Genomic DNA, 20,039 nt, shown 5'->3' with positions numbered 1-20,039 from the left:
ATATTGTTTTCTTGAGAATTGGATATTATAAAATATGGTCAAGAAAAGTAAAAGCTTAATAATAAAAAAAGGAAAAATAGTCTTCTCTTTGGATGATATGATTTTTGAAAATGAAGTGTACATTGGTTATTTAGATTGCAGTATTCATTAAAAACAGCTGTTATGTACAGTGTGTTTTCACATTCAGAGTTGATGAAAAGTACCCTAATTTTTTTGGTAGGGTCAATTTTTTGATATCTTTTATTTGCCTTCCTGCAGTAGGAGACATCTAATATTTGCCAATAACTCTTCCAAGATCACTTTATGCTAGTCTCCTTATGCTCTGCGTTGAGATATACAGGGATTTAGACCTACTGTGTAACCCTCAACATGTATTCACCTGGCTCACTTGAAGGGCACTGGCACCTATGTTGAGAGGCCTCATGTCCATGCATAAAGACATTACATTTCAATATTTTGAGAAAACCAGTAAAGCTCTGAATGGTTCAAAGACTAGCTCAGAGCCTCACAATTATTAGTAGGGAGTTTGGCCTCATGCTCCAGTTTGTCAGATTCAAAGGCCTGTGTGCTTTATGCAATGTCACCCAGCCCCCGGAAGTTGCAGAATGCCAGCTGTAATGGGGTAAAGCCACAGGCACATGTCAGATTTAGAATATATCACCAGAATGTTCAGCACAAAGAATCGATCTTCCTCTGCATGCAAGACCCTGCCATTAATCATTTTGCCTTTTTCTCACACATAGCACATGACTTGGAAAGCAAGGTTCACATGGGAATGCAATTTACATTTTAAATGATAGCTCTGTTCCTGGATTGCATAAAAAAGATTCACCTCTAATACTACCTTAACCAAATCTTTTATTATCCACAAGTAGTCAAAGTTTATCTAGAGAAAGCAGACAAGTATTAAAAATAGAATCTCAGGGGATTTTGTCAACGATAGTGTAACTTAAGTGAAATAAAATGTAGGGGATTCTGGGAGACAAAACCTGTCATGCAAATAAGTTAATGGGTTAGAGGGTCTTTTATTTTTTATTTATTTTTTTTAATTATTCTTTAAGTTTTAGGGTACATATGCACAACGTGCAGGTTAGTTACATATGTATACATGCACCATGTTGGTGTGCTGCACCCATTAACTCGTCATTTAACATTAGGTATATCTCCTAATGCTATCCCTTCCCCCCCCTCCCCCCACCCCACAACAGGCCCCGGTGTGTGATGTTCCCCTTCCTGTGTCCATGTGTTCTCATTGTTCAATTCCCACCTATGAGTGAGAACATGTGGTGTTTGTTTTTTTGTCCTTGTGATAGTTTGCTGAGAAAGATGGTTTCCAGCTTCATCCATGTCCCTAAAAAGGACACGAACTCATCATTTTTTATGGCTGCATAGTATTCCATGGTGTATATGTGCCACATTTTCTTAATCTAGTCTATCATTGTTGGACATTTGGCTTGGTTCCAAGTCTTTGCTATTGTGAATAGTGCCACAATAAACATATGCGTGCATGTGTCTTTATAGCAGCATGATTTATAATCCTTTGGGTACATACCCAGTAATGGGATGGCTGGGTCTAATGGTATTTCTAGTTCTAGATCCCTGAGGAGTCGCCACACTGACTTCCACAATGGTTGAACTAGTTTACAGTCCCACCAACAGTGTAAAAGTGTTCCTGTTTCTCCACATCCTCTCCAGCACCTGTCGTTTCCTGACTTTTTAATGATCGCCATTCTAACTGGTGTGAGATGGTATCTCATTGCGGTTTTGATTTGCATTTCTCTGATGGCCAGTGATGATGAGCATTTTTTCATGTGTCTTTTGGCTGCATAAATGTCTTCTTTTGAGAAGTGTCTGTTCATACCCTTCACCCACTTTTTGATGGGGTTGTTTGTTTTTTTCTTGTAAATTTGTTGGAGTTCATTGTAGATTCTGGATATTAGCCCTTTGTCAGATGAGTAGATTGCAAAAATTTTCTCCTATTTTGTAGGTTGCCTGTTCACTCTGATGGTAGTTTCTTTTGCTGTGCAGAAACTCTTTAGTTTAATGAGATCCCATTTGTCAATTTTGGCTTTTGTTGCCATTGCTTTTGGTGTTTTAGACATGAAGTCCTTGCCCATGCCTATGTCCTGAATGGTATTGCCTAGGTTTTCTTCTAGGGTTTTTATGGTTTTAGGTCTAACATTGAAGTCTTTAATCCATCTTGAATTAATTTTTGTATAAGGTGTAAGGAAGGGATCCAGTTTCAGCTTTCTACATGTGGCTAGCCAGTTTTCCCAGCACCATTTATTAAATAGGGAATCCTTTCCCCATTGCTTGTTTTTCTCAGGTTTGTCAAAGATCAGATAGTGATATGTAGCATTATTTCTGAGGGCTCTGTTCTGTTCCATTGATCTATATCTCAGTTTTGGTACCAGTACCATGCTGTTTTGGTTACTGTCGCCTTGTAGTATAATTTGAAGTCAGGTAGTGTGATGCTTCCAGCTTTGTTGTTTTGGCTTAGGATTGACTTGGCAATGCAGGCTCTTTTTTGGTTCCATACGAACTTTAAAATAGTTTTTTCCAATTCTGTGAAGAAAGTCATTGGTAGTTTGATGGGGACGGCATTGAATCTATAAATTACCTTGGGCAGTATGGCCATTTTCACGATATTGATTCTTCCTACCCATGAGCATGGAATGTTCTTCCATTTGTTTGTATCCTCTTTTATTTCATTGCGCAGTGGTTTGTAGTTCTCCTTGAAGAGGTCCTTCACATCCCTTGTAAGTTGGATTCCTAGGTATTTTATTCTCTTTGAAGCAATACTTGAGGGGTTTGGTGTGAAAGGGAGACATTATACAGTATGAGTCAAAGCAAAAATTGTTTTATGAACTAGACAACCACCTAAAAATAGGTATCAAAATCCTACTGCCCTAATACATAGACCATTTAACTGGAAAGTGTGAGTAAACATTGAAACATTTTATAGAGGGTAGACAGACACTGGAAACAAACGCCATTGAATTGCTGAGGAAGTTACTTTCTTGTCCATTCTAATTGCATTACTAAAGAAGCCTTAGCTTTAAGTTAACATGTCTTTACCACTTTATTAACGCTTGTTAATTTCTCCTGTGTAGTAACATAAGGTTTCCCTTTAAGATACATTTGTTTACATTAAAAAGAGTCAATCAAAAGGAAGATAAGTAGAGACTTGTTGCAGATATGATGAAAATCATGATAGCATACTATAATTATTGAACTACATATATAGAGAGATGGAAGGGGAAACAGATAAGCACCTGAATCCATTAGCTAAATTTTAGAATTAGTCTCTCTCTAGTTGTCTTTAAGATTTGAGGGAGGAACTAATATTGGAGGGTCAAACACTAGATCCAGTTGAGGCAAGAAATAACAAGTTTGCATGTATACAATTGCTGATCATCTACCAAATATCAAGTCCTGAATGTACAGATAAGTGAGATGTTTTCTGACTATCCTCCCCAGCACTACCAATAGGTTTGTTCTTGTTTGTTTATTTAGCCTCTGAATACAATTTCCTGTAGTAAGAACCTTCCTCAAACAATTCTAACCATTACCAACAAATTTATTTCCACCACAGGCAGTCTTTCTATACTATTAGGTCACTCACGGGAGTTCTGATCTCTCTTATTATAGTATATGCCAAATATTCTTTCCTTGGAATGAATGTTCTCCATTTGAAATATTTCCAGGTCCTGCCATCATTCCTTAATTTTCCCTTCATCATCTTGATTCTTCATCACTGAAAGGATTCAATTTTGCCGTTTTTTAAAACCTTATAGCCAGAACTGAATTCACTGTTTTAGGTCTAGCAATATTATTTTAGGGTAGGAAACTTATTTATTAAAAACTTTTGTTTCAGCCCCAAATCACACTAGTTTTGCGTGTTCTGTTGATAGCTCCAAATGAGATTATTGTTATTTTGTTCTTAAAGGTACTGAAAGCATCTTAAGTAATCATTTCTTTTAAGCTTATAAGTTATTTAATTAGAAAACAAACGAAAAGATCACCCCCTCCAACAAGCATACCTCGTTCCCCAGTGTTCTCTGGATTGCTGAGGTAATATAAATGAGGGTACCAGAGAGTGGCCATGTGAATAGAAGAATATTAGATTATTGGTCATATGGCTCTATTTTGTTAATAATAATTTTTAAAGGCTTCATTCAGTCTGAGATATTTATAAAAACTTTAAAAGTTTCCAGATTGTTTTAAAGAATAAGTTTCTAAGTTTATTTCCACCAATTCCTTCCTCTCCCAACATCCAAAATTACTTACATGTATGTAATGATGTTGTTTTGTTACCAGTGGGGCAAGGGAGAGAGAGTAAAATTGATGCAATGAAAACATTTGTTGGTGCTGTATTTATCCTTTGTCAAAAATATTTCTCTAATACTATCAGTAGCAGAAAACTGCAGATTAGTTCACAAGCTAAGCCAGAAAAAGGTAGAGAACTCTAACTTTCTACCAAACATAGGAAGATGACTCTACACCTTTATTTACAAAGGGTTTTTAGCGGGCTTTAGTCTTGGACAATAGCGTCTAATTGAGGGAGTCTGTTCAATTAGCAGACAGCCAAAAGAAGTGAGGAATCGTTATACAAATAACGAGATATTCAAAGCCATTCTGCCTCAATGAACTCTCTGACCAAGCTTAGGCCAAAGCTGTTCTAACATTAATTTGCATACAGATCATCTGGAAGATCTTGTTAAAATGCAGATGTTGATTCTTGGCCTCTAGGGTGAAGCTTGAGAGTTTGCATTTCTAATAAGCTTTATGAAGAAGCCATGCCACTGGTCTACAGACCTAACTTGATTATTAAGGGATTAACACAAAACTGACAGATTAGAAATTTCCTAACTCTGCTTCCAATTCTATTTTAATATTAGACCACTGTATATTTCACTTAATAAATATTTATTGAGCATCTGCAATGTGCAAGGTCTGCTTTAGCTGGCTGGGAATTCAGCCGTAATTTTTTTCCCAGTGCCTTTTAGGCTTTAGTTCAAAAAAGCAGGTCTCCACTTCAAGACCTCTCTGCAACAATTCTAATACAGCTTTGACGTTAAATTAAGAGCAAGGATTTTGGAAATTAGAAAGATGGCTCTGCCATTTAATAGCCTTGCTACTTTGGGTAGATTAACTAAACTCTGAGCCTCAGTTTCCACATCTATGAAGGATGAAAGGATATATTTGTAAATCATTCATACCATGAGTAATAAACGTCAATTGGTATTTTTCTTGCCCCAATTGTGTCGTTCACTAAGCCACAGGGTGAAACTGAACCTGTGGGCACAGACACACTTACAGTTAATTCATGAGGGGCTGGGATAGAGGGGACCGACTAAAGATCCTGAAAGTAGTTCCTTAGAGGCATCTACACTCCCATTCCAGAGATTTTTGTATGCATCAAAATTGATCTTTCCTTAATGATAAAAATGTCTGCATTTTGAATGGAGCCATGGTTATAGGCAAGTCTACTTTCTGTACAAGCAGTAGAATGAAACATAGGAAGTGGCCAGGACAGATACCAAATCATCTAACCAGGTTTCACAAGAGCATATGGCTCCAAGGATACAGGGGACTTCCTATGCTCTGAATGAAATTCTTGGGGAGTGTAATAAGCCGCATAGGGTAAGGGATGACCCCAATAACAGGGTGATATTAGGAAGAGCAAAGCAGAGAAGAGGCAGGGACCTGGTTACAGGAACTGGGGTAGAAGGAGACATGGACACCATGGGGATGATCCTGTTGCTAACCTATGAAGTAACCTGCTTGAGGATCCTATGAGTTTTCCCGAATTGGATCTAAGATCTGAGAAAAAAAGATGTGTAAGGAGAAGAAGGTGAGAGTCACTCTTGGAAAGCAGGAGTGGCAAAAGAAACCTAACCCAAGCTGCAGTGCTTAGTTACACACATTAACAATTTGAACAAGGAAGTGCTATGTTCTGTGCTGTGCAGTATAGTTGATTGAGACGTGTTCACTTTAAGAATTATCAAAACACATATCATCATAGTGTTTAGACTGTAAGACTGAGAAATAGTCAGTGAGTTAAAAGCATAGGAAAAATATTTAAGAATGTCAGCCAAATGTTATGTCCATTTATAATATTAAAAGGATGGTAGAAACTACAGTCTAGAGCCATGAACTGTGATAACTGTATATAAGTCTGAAATATTAGTTTATTCTTTCATTGTTATTTTGTCAGTATCATTCTACCTTTCCCTTATTAATCAGGGTGTAATCCTTAAAAAGATAAACGTACTTGTGCTTGTCTGTCTAGATGACTGCAGGAAGAAAGAGTTGGGTATTCTGCTTTGATGCCAGGTATAGAAGGCAGAGAAAGATGACATAAGAGTGAATGACATTAGGGAAAAGTTAAGTACTTAAGGCAATAGCGAGAAAACCAAAAGCCATATTAGAATTGAGTAATGTGTTTAGTCATAGAGAACCATTGTAGTTTTGGAATCTTCTGCTTTTACTGAGCTGAAAATCTTTATTGATGAGCTTGACAGACTAAAGATCAGGTAAGAAGGCCAAACATGATTGGCAGCAGCAATTAGAGATTCACAAGCTACACTAGGAAATCATGAATTCCTCAGAAGAATGAACTTCTGCTCTTGTTCTCATTTACCTTTCTGATCTTACAGTGGAGTTCAGCATCAGAAGGAATTTAAGAGGCTGTGGCCACATGGTAAAATGTCAGAGGACTTGGCAACTGTCAGCCTACTTGAAGGGCATTTCTCCCTTTGGCTCATTAATCGTACCACAACAATATCTTGTGTACACTGGCATTTTAGAAACTTCCCCATTACTCCTTTCTGATGATTACCTAAGTGAATTACTGTTCCCTAGTGTGACTTTACCCTGCCTTTTCTTGTAACTAGCCATGAATATACCAACAGTAAATGGGTGACGAAATGGAAAAGGTGACTTTACAAATTTTTTTTGACTCTTCTGAAAATGTCATGTCCTCTGTTGGAAATATCTAAGAGGCCATTTTGCTTCCTCTCTCCCTATAATAAACCATGTCCACCTTTTTTTATATCTCCCTTCCATCTTGGTTTCACTTGGTCTTGGTCCAAATTAAAGTGTAAGGAGAGACACTGCTTTCATAGTAAATTGAGGTCTAGGGAAGATGTGTGAATTGGATGAATGAGGCACAGTAAAGACATGTAAATTAATTAATATAATGCACTTAATGCACTGTGTAAGAATTGCCTCTTTCTCAGCATTTACAGTCTACATTTTTAAAGCAACACCAAAGAAAATGTCATCCTCATTATAAAAAAAGGAATAATCTGGAGACTGTGTCTAAAATACAGCTACATTAATGGATAAAAAACTGTGATTTTTTTTTTATTGCCTACTTTAAAATGTTTTATTGTTGAACTCCAGGCAGAGTCTGTTTTTGTGGCAAAGAGAAATTAAAGTAAAAGTGACCTAGTAGTCCACCTAGGCTCTGTGCTCACCACCTATGGGGACAAAAATGTCAAAACCAGAAACAACTTACGCCACCAGGAATTTAGTTTTAATTGATTGGACGAACTTAAAACTCATTTTCCTGTCTCCTCCCTTTCCTCAAAGATGGACACAGGCCCAAGTTTTATCTGACTTTTCAAACACCTGATGTTCATATACTTAGTAGCCATAATGTTCTATGAATTCAAAATATGACACTAGTAATGGTTCCTAAAAAAGATAGTAGAAAATATTAGCTACGTATATTTTGCATTATACTTTACAATTGATATACCCCTTTCACCTTTGTTTTCCATTTTATCTTTCTTTATTCTTTTTTATTTGTTTTTATTTTTTGAGATGGAGTTTCGCTCTTGTTGCCCGGGCTGGAGTGCAATGGCACAGTCTCAGCTCACTGCAATCTCTGCCTCCTAGGTTCAAGCGAGTCTCCTGTCTCAGCCTCCAAAGTAGCTGGGATTACTGGTGCCCACCAACATGTCCGGCTAATTTTTGTATTTTTAGTAGAGACAGGGTTTCACCATATTGGCCAGGCTGGTCTCGAACTCCTGACTTCTAGTGATGCACCCACCTTGGCCTCCCAAAGTGCTGGGATTACAGGCGTGAACCACAACATCCAGCTTGTTTTCCATGTTATCTTATCTTCAATTAAAATAAATAATGTAACCCCATTGCTCAGCTAAAGGAAATGGAGGTGCCTAAGGGCAAATAGCTGCTGTGTGAAGTTTCATGTGCGTCCCTGTGAAGAGACCACCAAACAGGGTTTGTGTGAGCAATAAAGCTGTTTATTTCACCCGGGTGCAGGTGGGCTGAGTCCGAAAAGAGAGTCAGCAAAGGGTGGTGTATTATCATTAGTTCTTACAGGTTTTGGGATAGGTGGTGAAGTTAAGAGCAATGTTTTGCGGGTAGGGGTGGATCTCACAAAGTACATTCTCAAGGGTGGGGAGAATTACAAAGTACATTGATCAGTTAGGGTGGGGCAGGAACAAATCACAATGTTGGAATGTCATCAGTTAAGGCTATTTTTACTTCTTTTGTGGATCTTCAGTTACTTCAGGCCATCTGGATGTATACCTGCAAGTCACAGGGGATGCGATGGCTTGGCTTGGGCTCAGAGGCCTGATATTCCTGCCTTCTTATATTAATAAGAAAAATAACACAAAATAGTGTTGAAGTGTTGGGGCGGCGAAAATTTTTGGGCGGTGGTATGGAGAGAGAATGGGTGATGTTTCTCAGGGCTGCTTCAAGCGGGATTAGGGGCAGCGTGGGAACCTAGAGTGGGAGAGATTAAGCTGAAGGGAGGTCTTGTGGTAAGGGGTGATATTGTGGGGATGTTAGAAGAAACATTTGTCGTATAGAATGATTGGTCATGGCCTGGATACGGTTTTGGATGAATTGAGAAACTAAATGGAAGATACAAGGTCCGAATAAAAGAAGGAGAAAAATGGGTATTAAAGGACTAAAAATTGGGAGGACCCAGGACATCCAATTAGAGAGTGCCCAAGGGATTCAGCGTAATTACTTGCTTGGTTGGCAAGTTTTTGGGCTCTATCCTTGAGTTTTTTTGTTGTCATACACCTGGCCAGATTGATTTAGGTAAAAACAACTCTCTTCATTTAAGAATATACAGAGTCCTCCTTTTTCAGCAGTGAGTAAGTCAAGGCCTCAGCGGTTTTGGAGGACAACTGCAGCTAAAGAGTCAACTTGGGCCTGGAGGACTGATAAAGTTTGTGATATGTCTGTGAAGCTAGCAGAGAAGTCATTAGACAGGCTACGGAAGGTCGTGACAGAGGTTGAAATGCCTGCTATTCCAGTACTGAGAGCAATAGTGGAGGCAGAAAGTCCTAAACTGACCATCAAGGGAATTAGTGGAATAACTCTTTTTTGTTGTGTCGGTGTCATGAGGGGAACGGGGGGACCTCCCTTGGGAGATCAATCCCCTGTCCTCCTGCTCTTTGCTCCATGAAAAAGATCCACCTACGACCTCAGGTCCTCAGACCGACCAGCCCAAGAAACATCTCACCAATTTCAAATCCGAGTCACGGCACCAAATTTCATGTGCGTCTGTGTGAAGAGACCACCAAACAGGCTTTGTGTGAGCAATAAAGCTGTTTATTTCACCTGGGTGCAGGTAGGCTGAGTCCGAAAAGAGAGTCAGCAAAATGTGGTGGATTATCATTAGTTCTTACAAGTTTTAAGATAGGCGGTGAAGTTAAGAGCAATGTTTTGCAGGCAGGGGTGGATCTCACAAAGTACATTCTCAAGGGTGCGGAGAATTACAAAGTACATTGATCAGTTAAGGTAGTGCAGGAACAAATCACTATGGTGGAATGTCATCAGTTAAGGCTATTTTTACTTCTTTTGTAGATCTTCAGTTCCTTCAGGCCATCTGGATGCATACGTGCAAGTCACAGAAGATGCGATGGCTTGGCTTAGGCTCAGAGGCCTGACATGAAGAAACTACAGCTCAGAGACATGCCTTGTCCAATGGGCTAAAGGTTGTCTTGCACATTATCTCACTTATTTTTCAAAAAGTGTTATGAAGTATGTACTTGAAAATTATTATCCTACAGATAAGAAGCAAAATTTAATTGATAACAGTAAAAAGAAACTGATTCATTTAACTAGTGATATTCCAAGGGAGATTTAAATTTAACTTGTTTGCATTCCAAAACTTAGATTCTTTACATTTTTGAGAAAAGATATGTATAAGAAACCAAGAAGCACTGAAATATAGTGGCTAAGAGCACTGGAATCAGATTTCCGTACTGAAAATGCCAATTCTACCAGCTTATCATTGGGATAGTTTACTTAATTTGTCTATGTTTCAGCATTTTTGCCTGTACTGTGAAACTATTACACAGACATTCTCACAGAGACATCATAAAAAACAATGAAATACATCATGTAACTCTTGACACAGTGTATGTTATACAGTATGTAGTTTAAAAAAAGCTTGCTGCCAGGTGCAGTGGCTCATGCCTGTAATCCCAACACTTTGGGAGGCCGAGGCGGGTGGATCACCTTGAGGTCAGGAGTTCGAGACCAGCCTGGCTGACATGGCAAAACCCCATCTCTACTAAAAATACCAAAAAAAAAATTAGCTGGGCATGGCGGGGGCTCCTGTAGTCCCAGCTATTCAGGAGGCTGAGGCAGGAGAATCACTTGAACCCGGGAGGCAGAGCTGGCAGTGAGCCGAGATCGTGCCACTGCACACCAGCCAAGGCGATAGAGTGAGACTCCATCTCAAAAAAAAAAAAAAAAAAAAAAAAAGCTTGCTATGAGAGCTATGGTAACAATTATTCTTACTACGTCCTCTTCAGTGTAATCTGGAATCTAGTAGTAGGTAGGATCTAGGCCAGCACTTTGATTCAATATCCCTCCTCTGAAAAGAAACATGCCATCAGCATTGTATCCTTATGATGTTCCTGATAATATATTATTTTCCTGACAGAGAGAAGGCTCGTGTTACTGAATGATGTTTGCCAAGAGGAGTTTGTTTAGGAAGAAAAGATATATTTACCAAAACAAAAAAGCAGCTCAACACAGGGGCCCATTATTTCAGAGGGTCCACCACCGTAGCCAGATTGTCAGGCTTTTATACAATTTGCAAAGTAAAACATTTTAATCTTGATTGGTCATTGTGTCTTTCCTTCCCAAATCCTTCTATGTCTTACTCTTTGCTTGGGTTAGTTGGAGTTGAGGTGCTCCATGGACATTTTTGGGATCTGGCTAAAGGAAAATCGTGCCAGGAATACATGGATTTCACAGAATATTTTTATATAGTTCGTTTGCTGTGTGTATGGTTGCTACTGCTGGCTGTCTCAAAGTGAGAATGACTTCCCAAGCTATGATTCTGTCTCTCATAGCAAAACATAAATAGTTGGTATCATTATGCAAAAATGTCCTATGGCCCCCAACATCAGAACTAAGCGATGGAGGAGAAAAAAGATGTAAAATTTAAAACTTGTGTGTGGAATAATCTTCTAACCCATACACATGTAACTTTGTAAAGAAAGAATTTTGTTCTCACTGAAACCTAGTCAAATCACCATTTTTATTCCTTCAAGGATATCGTTGATAATTCAAGAAAAATAAGCAAAAAACAATCAAACTTGCTAGATAAAAGACTGAAAATAACTTTCTATTCACTCTATAAAACAGGATAATCCAAAACTGTCATGAGACTACACAGACAAATACTTTAGAAAACAAAAAGTATTATGGAAGTGTTTCAATAAGTTAATTAATTAAAAATATGCTATTCTTTTGGACTGTGTGATATTTGTAATCTTTTCAGTTTGTAATCTGCTATGATTTCTTCATTCATTTTAAATAAAAGATTTTGGTCATGCAAATTTGCATTCATAATTTGTATTATTAAAGAAGGCTTCACTCATATTGTAAAAGATTCCTTTTATAAAAGGAGAAATACACCTCTTCTAGGATATCTTCCAAAAATGCAAAAATTAGGCTCTTTCAAGTTTTTGAGGATGAATATTAACTCAGGCAACTGAAGTTGAACCAGAAATGCAGAGACAGTAAACACGAGGAGAAAGGTAAATTCATGCCGCATGTTCAGCTGGCTCTTTATATTTTGGGGGGCTTCAGGACTTTAGCCAAGTCTACACTGCAGAGCTCTGAAAGCCGAGAGGATGCATATCTTCTCTTGACTTATCAGAGCTACCAAATGGACTCTTTGGAAGGAAGAAATTGCATGAAGAACAAAGAAATAAACACGTGCGGAGACCTGAATAGCCATTATAAGGATTTAAAAAGGGGTTGAAAAAGGAACAATAAAGAAACTCTATTGGAAACAGACTGGAGAGGTTTTCACTGCTTAGAATAATGCTCCTTGCTAATAGTCCCCCACAATCTTCATTTGCTATAACCCCTTTTTTTCCTGTATCTTTAATCACAAATTTATGCACTAAATGTGTGTTACATAGCAACCCTGGGCCAGAATCTGAGCTATGTGTTGGGATACCATGTTGAGCAAAAATATACACCCTACACCTGTGGAACATATAGCTAGTATGCAAGATGACTCACACCTATACACAAATCACACAGATACAAATCATAACTCAGATAATGTGCTCGGAGTGGCACATTGGAAGAATATTTATGTGGATGTGACCTAGGCAGAGATCTCCAGACAGGTCTTTTTGAGTATGTAATATTTTTGCTAATTTCTGTTATGGGGGTAAGAATTAACAAGGAGATAGGAGTTAGGAATGAGTGTAGGTTGAGAGGGAAAGATAAACAACATTTCAATCAGAAGAAGAGTACATAGGGCAAAGGTACAAAACATAAGAGAGAATAAGAAAACAAGTCATGCACAAAAAGATTATTAATTTGGTATTTCAAGAAAATTCCTACTGTACAAAATATATTGTATCAAGTGGAATAATATCATCACCGTCACTTTCACCACTGTCACTGCCACCATGTCAATGACCACCAATTGCAGGCCTATGTTCCAGGAACTATAATAATTTTTATTGTACATTTTTCCATTTAATCCTTATACCATCTTGCGTTCATTTGTTTGCTCATCCATTCATTTATCCATTAACTTATTCAGTATATATTTATTAGATGCCTAATCTGTGGCAGGCATTCATTGTTATGCAATATTTAGTATTTGACAAGACAGATATAGATTCTACCCTAATGGAATAATAATTTGTAATTAAATATTGACTTGATATATGTTACTTGTTATTTTATATGCCTCATTTGATTCTATGTTCTGAAATTACACAATTCTTATTTCACAGCTCCTCCCTGGAGAGTGTCTCAAGCTGGCTAGATGAAACAAACACAAGTCAGGCCATGTGTGGTAGCTCACGCCTGTCATTCCAGCACATTGGGAGGCCAAGTCTGGCAGATCACTTCAGAACAGGAGATTGAGACTAGCCTGGCCAACATGGTGAAACCCTGTCTCTACTGAAAATACAAAAATTAGTCAGGTGTGGTGGCGCAAGCTGTAATTCCAACTACTTGGGAGGCTGAAGCACAAGAATTGCTTGAACCTGAGAGGCAGAAGTTGCAGTGAGCTGTGATGGCGACACTGCACTCCAGCCTGGGCAACAGAGAGAGACTTTATCTCAAACAACAACAACAACAAAATCCTACAAACACAAGTCAGATTCAGGAAGTTTGGAAGGTGGACGAGATAATCCCACTGGCATGGGAGTGGCTGAGAGATACTCCTGGGCATGGGACATACTCGTGGGTGAGTGCAGACCCTTAGAGAGGACCATGGGCCCTGCCACATAAAATTTGTCATACCTGTGCTTGCTGGAGCCTGTTGAGTGCCTGGCTCCCCATCTGCTAGCTGATGATCTGACACTCTATTCCCTGACCATGGGTAGAGTCTTGGGAAGTGGGATATCAGCTGTGTTTCCTTCCTTCAGGCTTTTCACTGCAACTCACAGTAGATGGCCAGCTCCCAGAGGTTTTAGTAGATGGTTTGGGGTTCCACTAAAGGCTTCCCCATGCTGAGATGCAGGCTCTAGTCAATCATCTGCCAGACAAACCATTGTGTTGCCAGCCTGCAGCAGTGACAGCCACTACTATGCCCCACTCTGAGATGTCATGGGGCAAGTGCATACAACTGTAACCTTCTGTACCCCTATCCGTGAACCTGCCAGTGCGAAGGATGGTGGTAGCCATGAGTGGAGAAAAGAGGGTGAGGCTGGGTGAGCCCAGGAAACCAGGAGGCAGGGGAGCAAGTGGCAGAGAACTCATCCCAGGAATGTGGTAGATTGTGATAGGATGTATAAGCCAAGGTTCCAAGTCCTGGGCACATGCTCCATTGTCTCCTTGGACTTCAGTTACAAAATACAAATTCAAAGACAAAATTATTAAGAACTCCTGGTAGCATGTACCTGTAGTCTCAGCTAGCTGGGAGGCTGAGGCAGGAGACTCACTTGAGCCCAGGAGTTTGTGGCTACAGTGAACGAGGATCACATCACTGCACTATAGCCTGGGCGACAGAGCAAGAGACTGTTTAAAAAAAAGAGAGAGAGAGAGGGAGATAATTGCAGGACAGCAATTGCAGACCACTGAACTCCAAATAAGGTGCCCTTCTGAGTTGGAGGGACCAATGCAACTTCACTGGTCATATGCCCATGAAGTCAGCTCTGAATGAAGGTCAGAAAATAATTATGTACAGCGGTCAGGAAGGCTTCTCTGAAAAGCTAAGACCTGAGGGATATGAATGCTCTGGCCATGGACTAGGAAGAGAGCATTGCTATTATTATAACCTTTTCTCTATTGAGATTTAGAGAGGTTAATTAACCTGTGTGTGACAAAACTCAAATTAGTTTGACTCCAAAGTCTGTTTTTAAGCCTTACTGTATACATCTGCCTCTACTTGGGAAGGTTACGTTTGTCCTGTTAGGCATTCTATAGAAAGAAGCCAAGATGATTTTCTGTAAGGAGCTATGCATACAATTAAGAAGAAATTAACTCATTAAAAACAACAACAAAAATCTGAACACCAGTAAAGCCATATGAAAAGCCAACTGTTACCTTTGTACTTAAACTTTGTCCTTGACTTCCAGTCATCAAGACAATAATGACTCATACCACTAGTCAAAGCTTAAACAAAGATGTTTCTGGTTTTTTTGTTTATTTGTTTTTTTTTTGGTTGTTTGTTTGTTTTAGAGACAGAGTCTGGCTCTGTCACGCAAGCTGGAGTGCAGTGGCACCATCATAACTCACTTCAACCTTGAAATCCTGGGATGAAACAATCCTTTCACCCCAGCCTCCCAAGTATCTAGGACTACAGGTGCATGGCACCACATCCAGCTACCTTTTTTTGTTTGTTTTTTGGGTTTTTGTTGGTGTTGTTGTTGTTGTTGGTGGTGGTGGTGGGGTATGTGTGTGTGTGCGTGTGTGTGTGTGTGTGTGTGTGTGTTTAGAGACAGGGTGTCCCAGGATGGTCTCAAACTCCTGGTTGCAAGTGATCCTCCCATCTCAGCTTCCCAAAGTGCTGTGATTACAGTTGTGAGCCACTGTACCCAACCCAAAGATGCTCCCTGCTCAGACTCATTATTCTTGTGTTAGCACATATCTTCATTCATTTCTGTTTACATTCTAGCACTCTACAATTGAATAATTGAGAAATTTACTCTTGCCTAAACCCACCATGTCATTTTATGCTTCTGAATCTTGTGATTGACTTTCCTAATCTCTTCAATGTCCTTCATTGCTTCTATTGCTTCTGTTTGCTCATACCAACCTTTTCCTCTATATTAAATAATTTTCTGTGAATGGTTTGCATAACCTTTGTGTTGATAGAGCTAACATTATGCTTAATTCATAGCTGGTACTCATTTAATGTTTATTGACTTGGGATCTGCCAATGGGATATTGATCAGCAACAATATCCCTCTGCCTGAAGAACCAGACAGGTTATTTTTTAAAAGATTATTTTCTTTAAAAACTCCATACAAATACATTAAAAACTCCATACAAATACAAAACATATTCTTGATGGGTGGACAGAGAAACAAAGGAACTGTGTCTGACTGTGGACCATTTTGATTTTGGAATTTTCTTGCCACAAATGTTCCCAATTAATGTTTGAAGAAAGCTATTTGTTTTGGACAATCATGCCAATGATATGTTTTGTTCTGTAAAAGAATAACATTTGACTCTAGAGAAATACAAGCAGACAGACAGGAGTCAGTGAAATGTAAAACTTCTTTCTTCTCTCCACTTTCGAATATGAAATATACATCAAGGGTAGTTTTTGAGTTCTGTTTGTGTTCCTGTCTCACTATTATGCCCATTAGGCACCCATGAAAACAAATAAGAGGAACACATAAAATATTGCAGAGGAAAAACAAGGACAAGAATCCATCAAACATAAATTATTAAAAATTATATACTTAATGTTATATATAACACATATGCTATGAGTAATATATTTGCAAACATAAATATAAAAACGTAAATGTGTATGAGTGTGCTTCCATTGTCACAGGAACCAGGCTAATTATTTTGTATAAAAAATTCATTTACTTATCACAACCATCCTTTTTTTGTTGTTTTTAAAGCACTTTATTAAGGTATGATTGATGTACAAAAAGCTATACATATTGAACTTGTACAACTTGATGATTTTGGAGGCAATATACACCTGTGAAACCATCACTACAATCTATGTTATAAGTGTATCCCTTAGCTACAAAAGTTCACTTCTACCTTCTTTATTTATTATCTTTGTCTGTGTGTGTGTGTGTGTTTGTGTGTGTGTGTGTGGTAACACTTAAGATCTCCACCCTCAACACATTTTTAAGTAGATAAGACGGTATTATTAACTGTAGCTACTATGCTGTACATACAGTAGATCTCAGAAACTTACTCATTTTGCATAATTGAAACTTTGTACCCTTTGACTACTACCTTCCATTTCCCCTCCCCAGTCCCTGGACATCATCATTCAATTCTCTGCTTTTATGAGTTTGGCTCTTTTAGATTCCTCATGTAAATTTTATCATGTAGCATTTGTCCTATGGCTTGGCTCATTTCACCTAGCATTATGTCCTCCAGATTTATCCATGTTGTTACAAATGACAGAATTTTTTTTATTTCTTAAGGCTGCATAATAGTTCATTGTATGTATAGACCACATTTTCTTTATCCATTCTTCTACCAATGGACATTGAGGTTGCCTCCATGTTTTTGCTATTATGACTAGTACTGCAGTGAGCATAGAGGTACAGATATCTTGTCAAGATCTTAATTTTAATTTATTTGAATACTTGAATAATAATTTTTATTTTTAATAATAAAAAAACAGATTATTTTTGAATGTTAATTATTTTTTCCAGAACAATAATTGATAATATGGTAGTTCTGTTTTTAATTGCTTTAGGGATCTCCATATTGTTTAAATTTATATTCTCACCAACACTATGGAAGGGTTCCTTACTTTTCCACTTCCTTGCCAACCATTATGTTTTTTTTTTTAATGGCCATCCTAAAAGGTGTCAGGTGATATCTCATTGTGGTTATGATGTGCATTACCCTGATGACTAGCAATGTTGAGCTCCTTTCATATACCTGCTGTTCATTTCTATGTCTTCTTTGGAGAAAGGTTTATTCAACTCCTTTGACTGTTTTTTAATCAAGTGGGGTTTTTGAGTGTTGTTATTGAGTTGTAGGAATTTCTTTTATATTTTGGAGATTAACCCTTTATCATAATATATATATACACACAAGCACACATATAACACACATAGGCACACATATATGTATACATATGTATACATGTATACATATATGTGTGCGTGTGTGTGTGTATATATATGTTCTCCTATTCCATAGATTGCCTTTTTTTCTTTTTTTTTTTTTCCTTTGCTGTGTGTATAGCAGCTTTTTAATTTGAGGTAGTCTTGTCTATTTTTTATTTTGTTTTTTTGTGCTTTTGGTATCATATTCAAGAAGCCATTACCAAGAGCAATGTCAAGAAGCTTTTCCCCAGTGCTTTCTTCTAAGAGATACAGTGTTTTGGGTCTTGTGTTTAAGCCTTTAATCCATTTTGAGTTGATTTTTGTGTATGGTGTAAGATAAGAGTCCAGTTTCATTTTTTGTATGTGAATACCTGGTTTTCTCAACACCATTTATGGAAGAGGCTATTCTTTTCCCATTGTGTATTTTTGGCACCCTTGCCAAATATCTATTTACCATATATGTGTACATTTATTTATGGGCTCTCTATTCTGCTCCATTGACTCATATATCAATTTTTATGCCCGTGTCACACTGTTTAGAATACTGTAGCTTTATAATATATTTTGAAATCAAAAAGTGTGATGCTCCCATCTTTGTTCTTCTTGCTTAAAATTTGTGTAGTTATTCTGGGTCTTTTATGGTTTCATATGAATTTTAGGATTGTTTCATTTATTTCTATATAAAACATTATTGAGATTTTGTTCAGGATTGCACCAAATTTGTACGTTGCTTTCAGTAGCATGGAAATTTTAACAATAGTAATCTACTCAACAAACGGGATGTCTCTCCATTTATTTGGATTCACTCCAATTTATTTTTACAGTCGTTTTATAGTTTTTAGTGTCTCGGTCTTTTACTTACTGGTTAAGTTTATCTTATTTAATTTTTTTTTTTTTTTTGAGATGGAGTCTCGCTCTGTCACCCAGGCTGGAGTGCAGTGGCGCAATCTCGGCTCACTGCAAGCTCCGTCTCCCAGGTTCACGCCATGCCTCAGCCTCCCGAGTAGCTGGGACTACAGGTGCCCACCACCACACCCAGCTAATATTTTTGTATTTTTAGTAGAGACGGGGTTTCACCATGTTAACCAAGATGGTCTCGATCTCCTGACCTTGTGATCCGCCCGCCTCTGCCTCCCAAAGTGCTGGGATTACAGGCGTGAACCACCACGCCCGGCCAAGTTTATTTTTAAATATTGTATTCTGCTTGATGTTATTGCATATGAAAGTGTTTTCTTAACATTTCTTTCAGATAGTTTGTTATTAGTGTATAGAAACACAACTGAGTTTTGCATTTTGATTTTGTATCCTGTATGTTCATGAATTTATTTATTAGTTCTCATAATTTTTGTGGAGTTGTTTTAGGTTTTCTATAGATAATATTATGACATCTGCAGAGATAATTTTACCTTTTATTTTCTGATTTTGATCTCCTTTATTTCTTTTCTTGCCTGACTGCTCTACCTAGCAATTCCAGTACCATGTTGAAATGAAGTGGAGAGAATAGGCATTTTTTCTTTTCTCACGTCTCCGAGGGGAAGCTTTCAGTTTTTCAGCATTGAGCATGATGTCCCCTGTGGGCTTTTCATATATGTACTTCACCATGTTGAGGCAACTTCCTTCCATACAAGTATTAGTCAGAGTTCTCCAAAGAAATAAAACCAATAGTATATGTAGATATTTAAGAAGAGTTTTGTTATGGGAATTTTCTCACAAAATAATAGAGGCTAAGAAGTCCTACAATGTACCTACTGCAAGATACAGAAAAAGAAAAGGTGGAGGTGTAATTCAGTCCAAGTTCAAAGTCCTGAGGATTGTGGGAGGGAACAGGGAGGTATATGGGAGGTTGGGGAGGGAGGCTGGTGTTAGTTCCAGAGTCTAAAGGCCTCACACAGGAGCTCTGATTTCCCAGGGCAGGAGAAGATAGATGTCCCAGCTCAAGAAAAGAAAGAGAGCACTTGTCCTTTCTCTACCTTTTTGTTCTATCTGGGCCATCAGTGGATAGGATGATACTCACTCACACTGGTGAGGGCAGATATTCTTTACTCTGTGTATGGATTCAAATGCTAATTTCTTCTGGAAACATTCTCACAGGTGCATCCATAAGTAATGTTTTCACTGTCTATCTGGGCATCCTTTAGCCCAGTGAAGTTGAGACAAAAAAATAACTATCAATGCCTAATTTGTTTAGATGTCACATTATCATTTTACAGATGTTAAAATCCAAGCTCAGAAAGAGATTTAAAGATTTAAACCTTGATTTTCTTGATTTCTGAGCGCATGTTATTAGTCCACTCA

This window comes from Homo sapiens, chromosome 16 (assembly GCF_000001405.40).
Source record: "Homo sapiens chromosome 16, GRCh38.p14 Primary Assembly".
Taxonomy (NCBI): domain Eukaryota; kingdom Metazoa; phylum Chordata; class Mammalia; order Primates; family Hominidae; genus Homo; species Homo sapiens.
The sequence above is the reverse complement of the archived record's forward strand: the minus strand, read 5'-3'. Positions refer to the sequence as shown.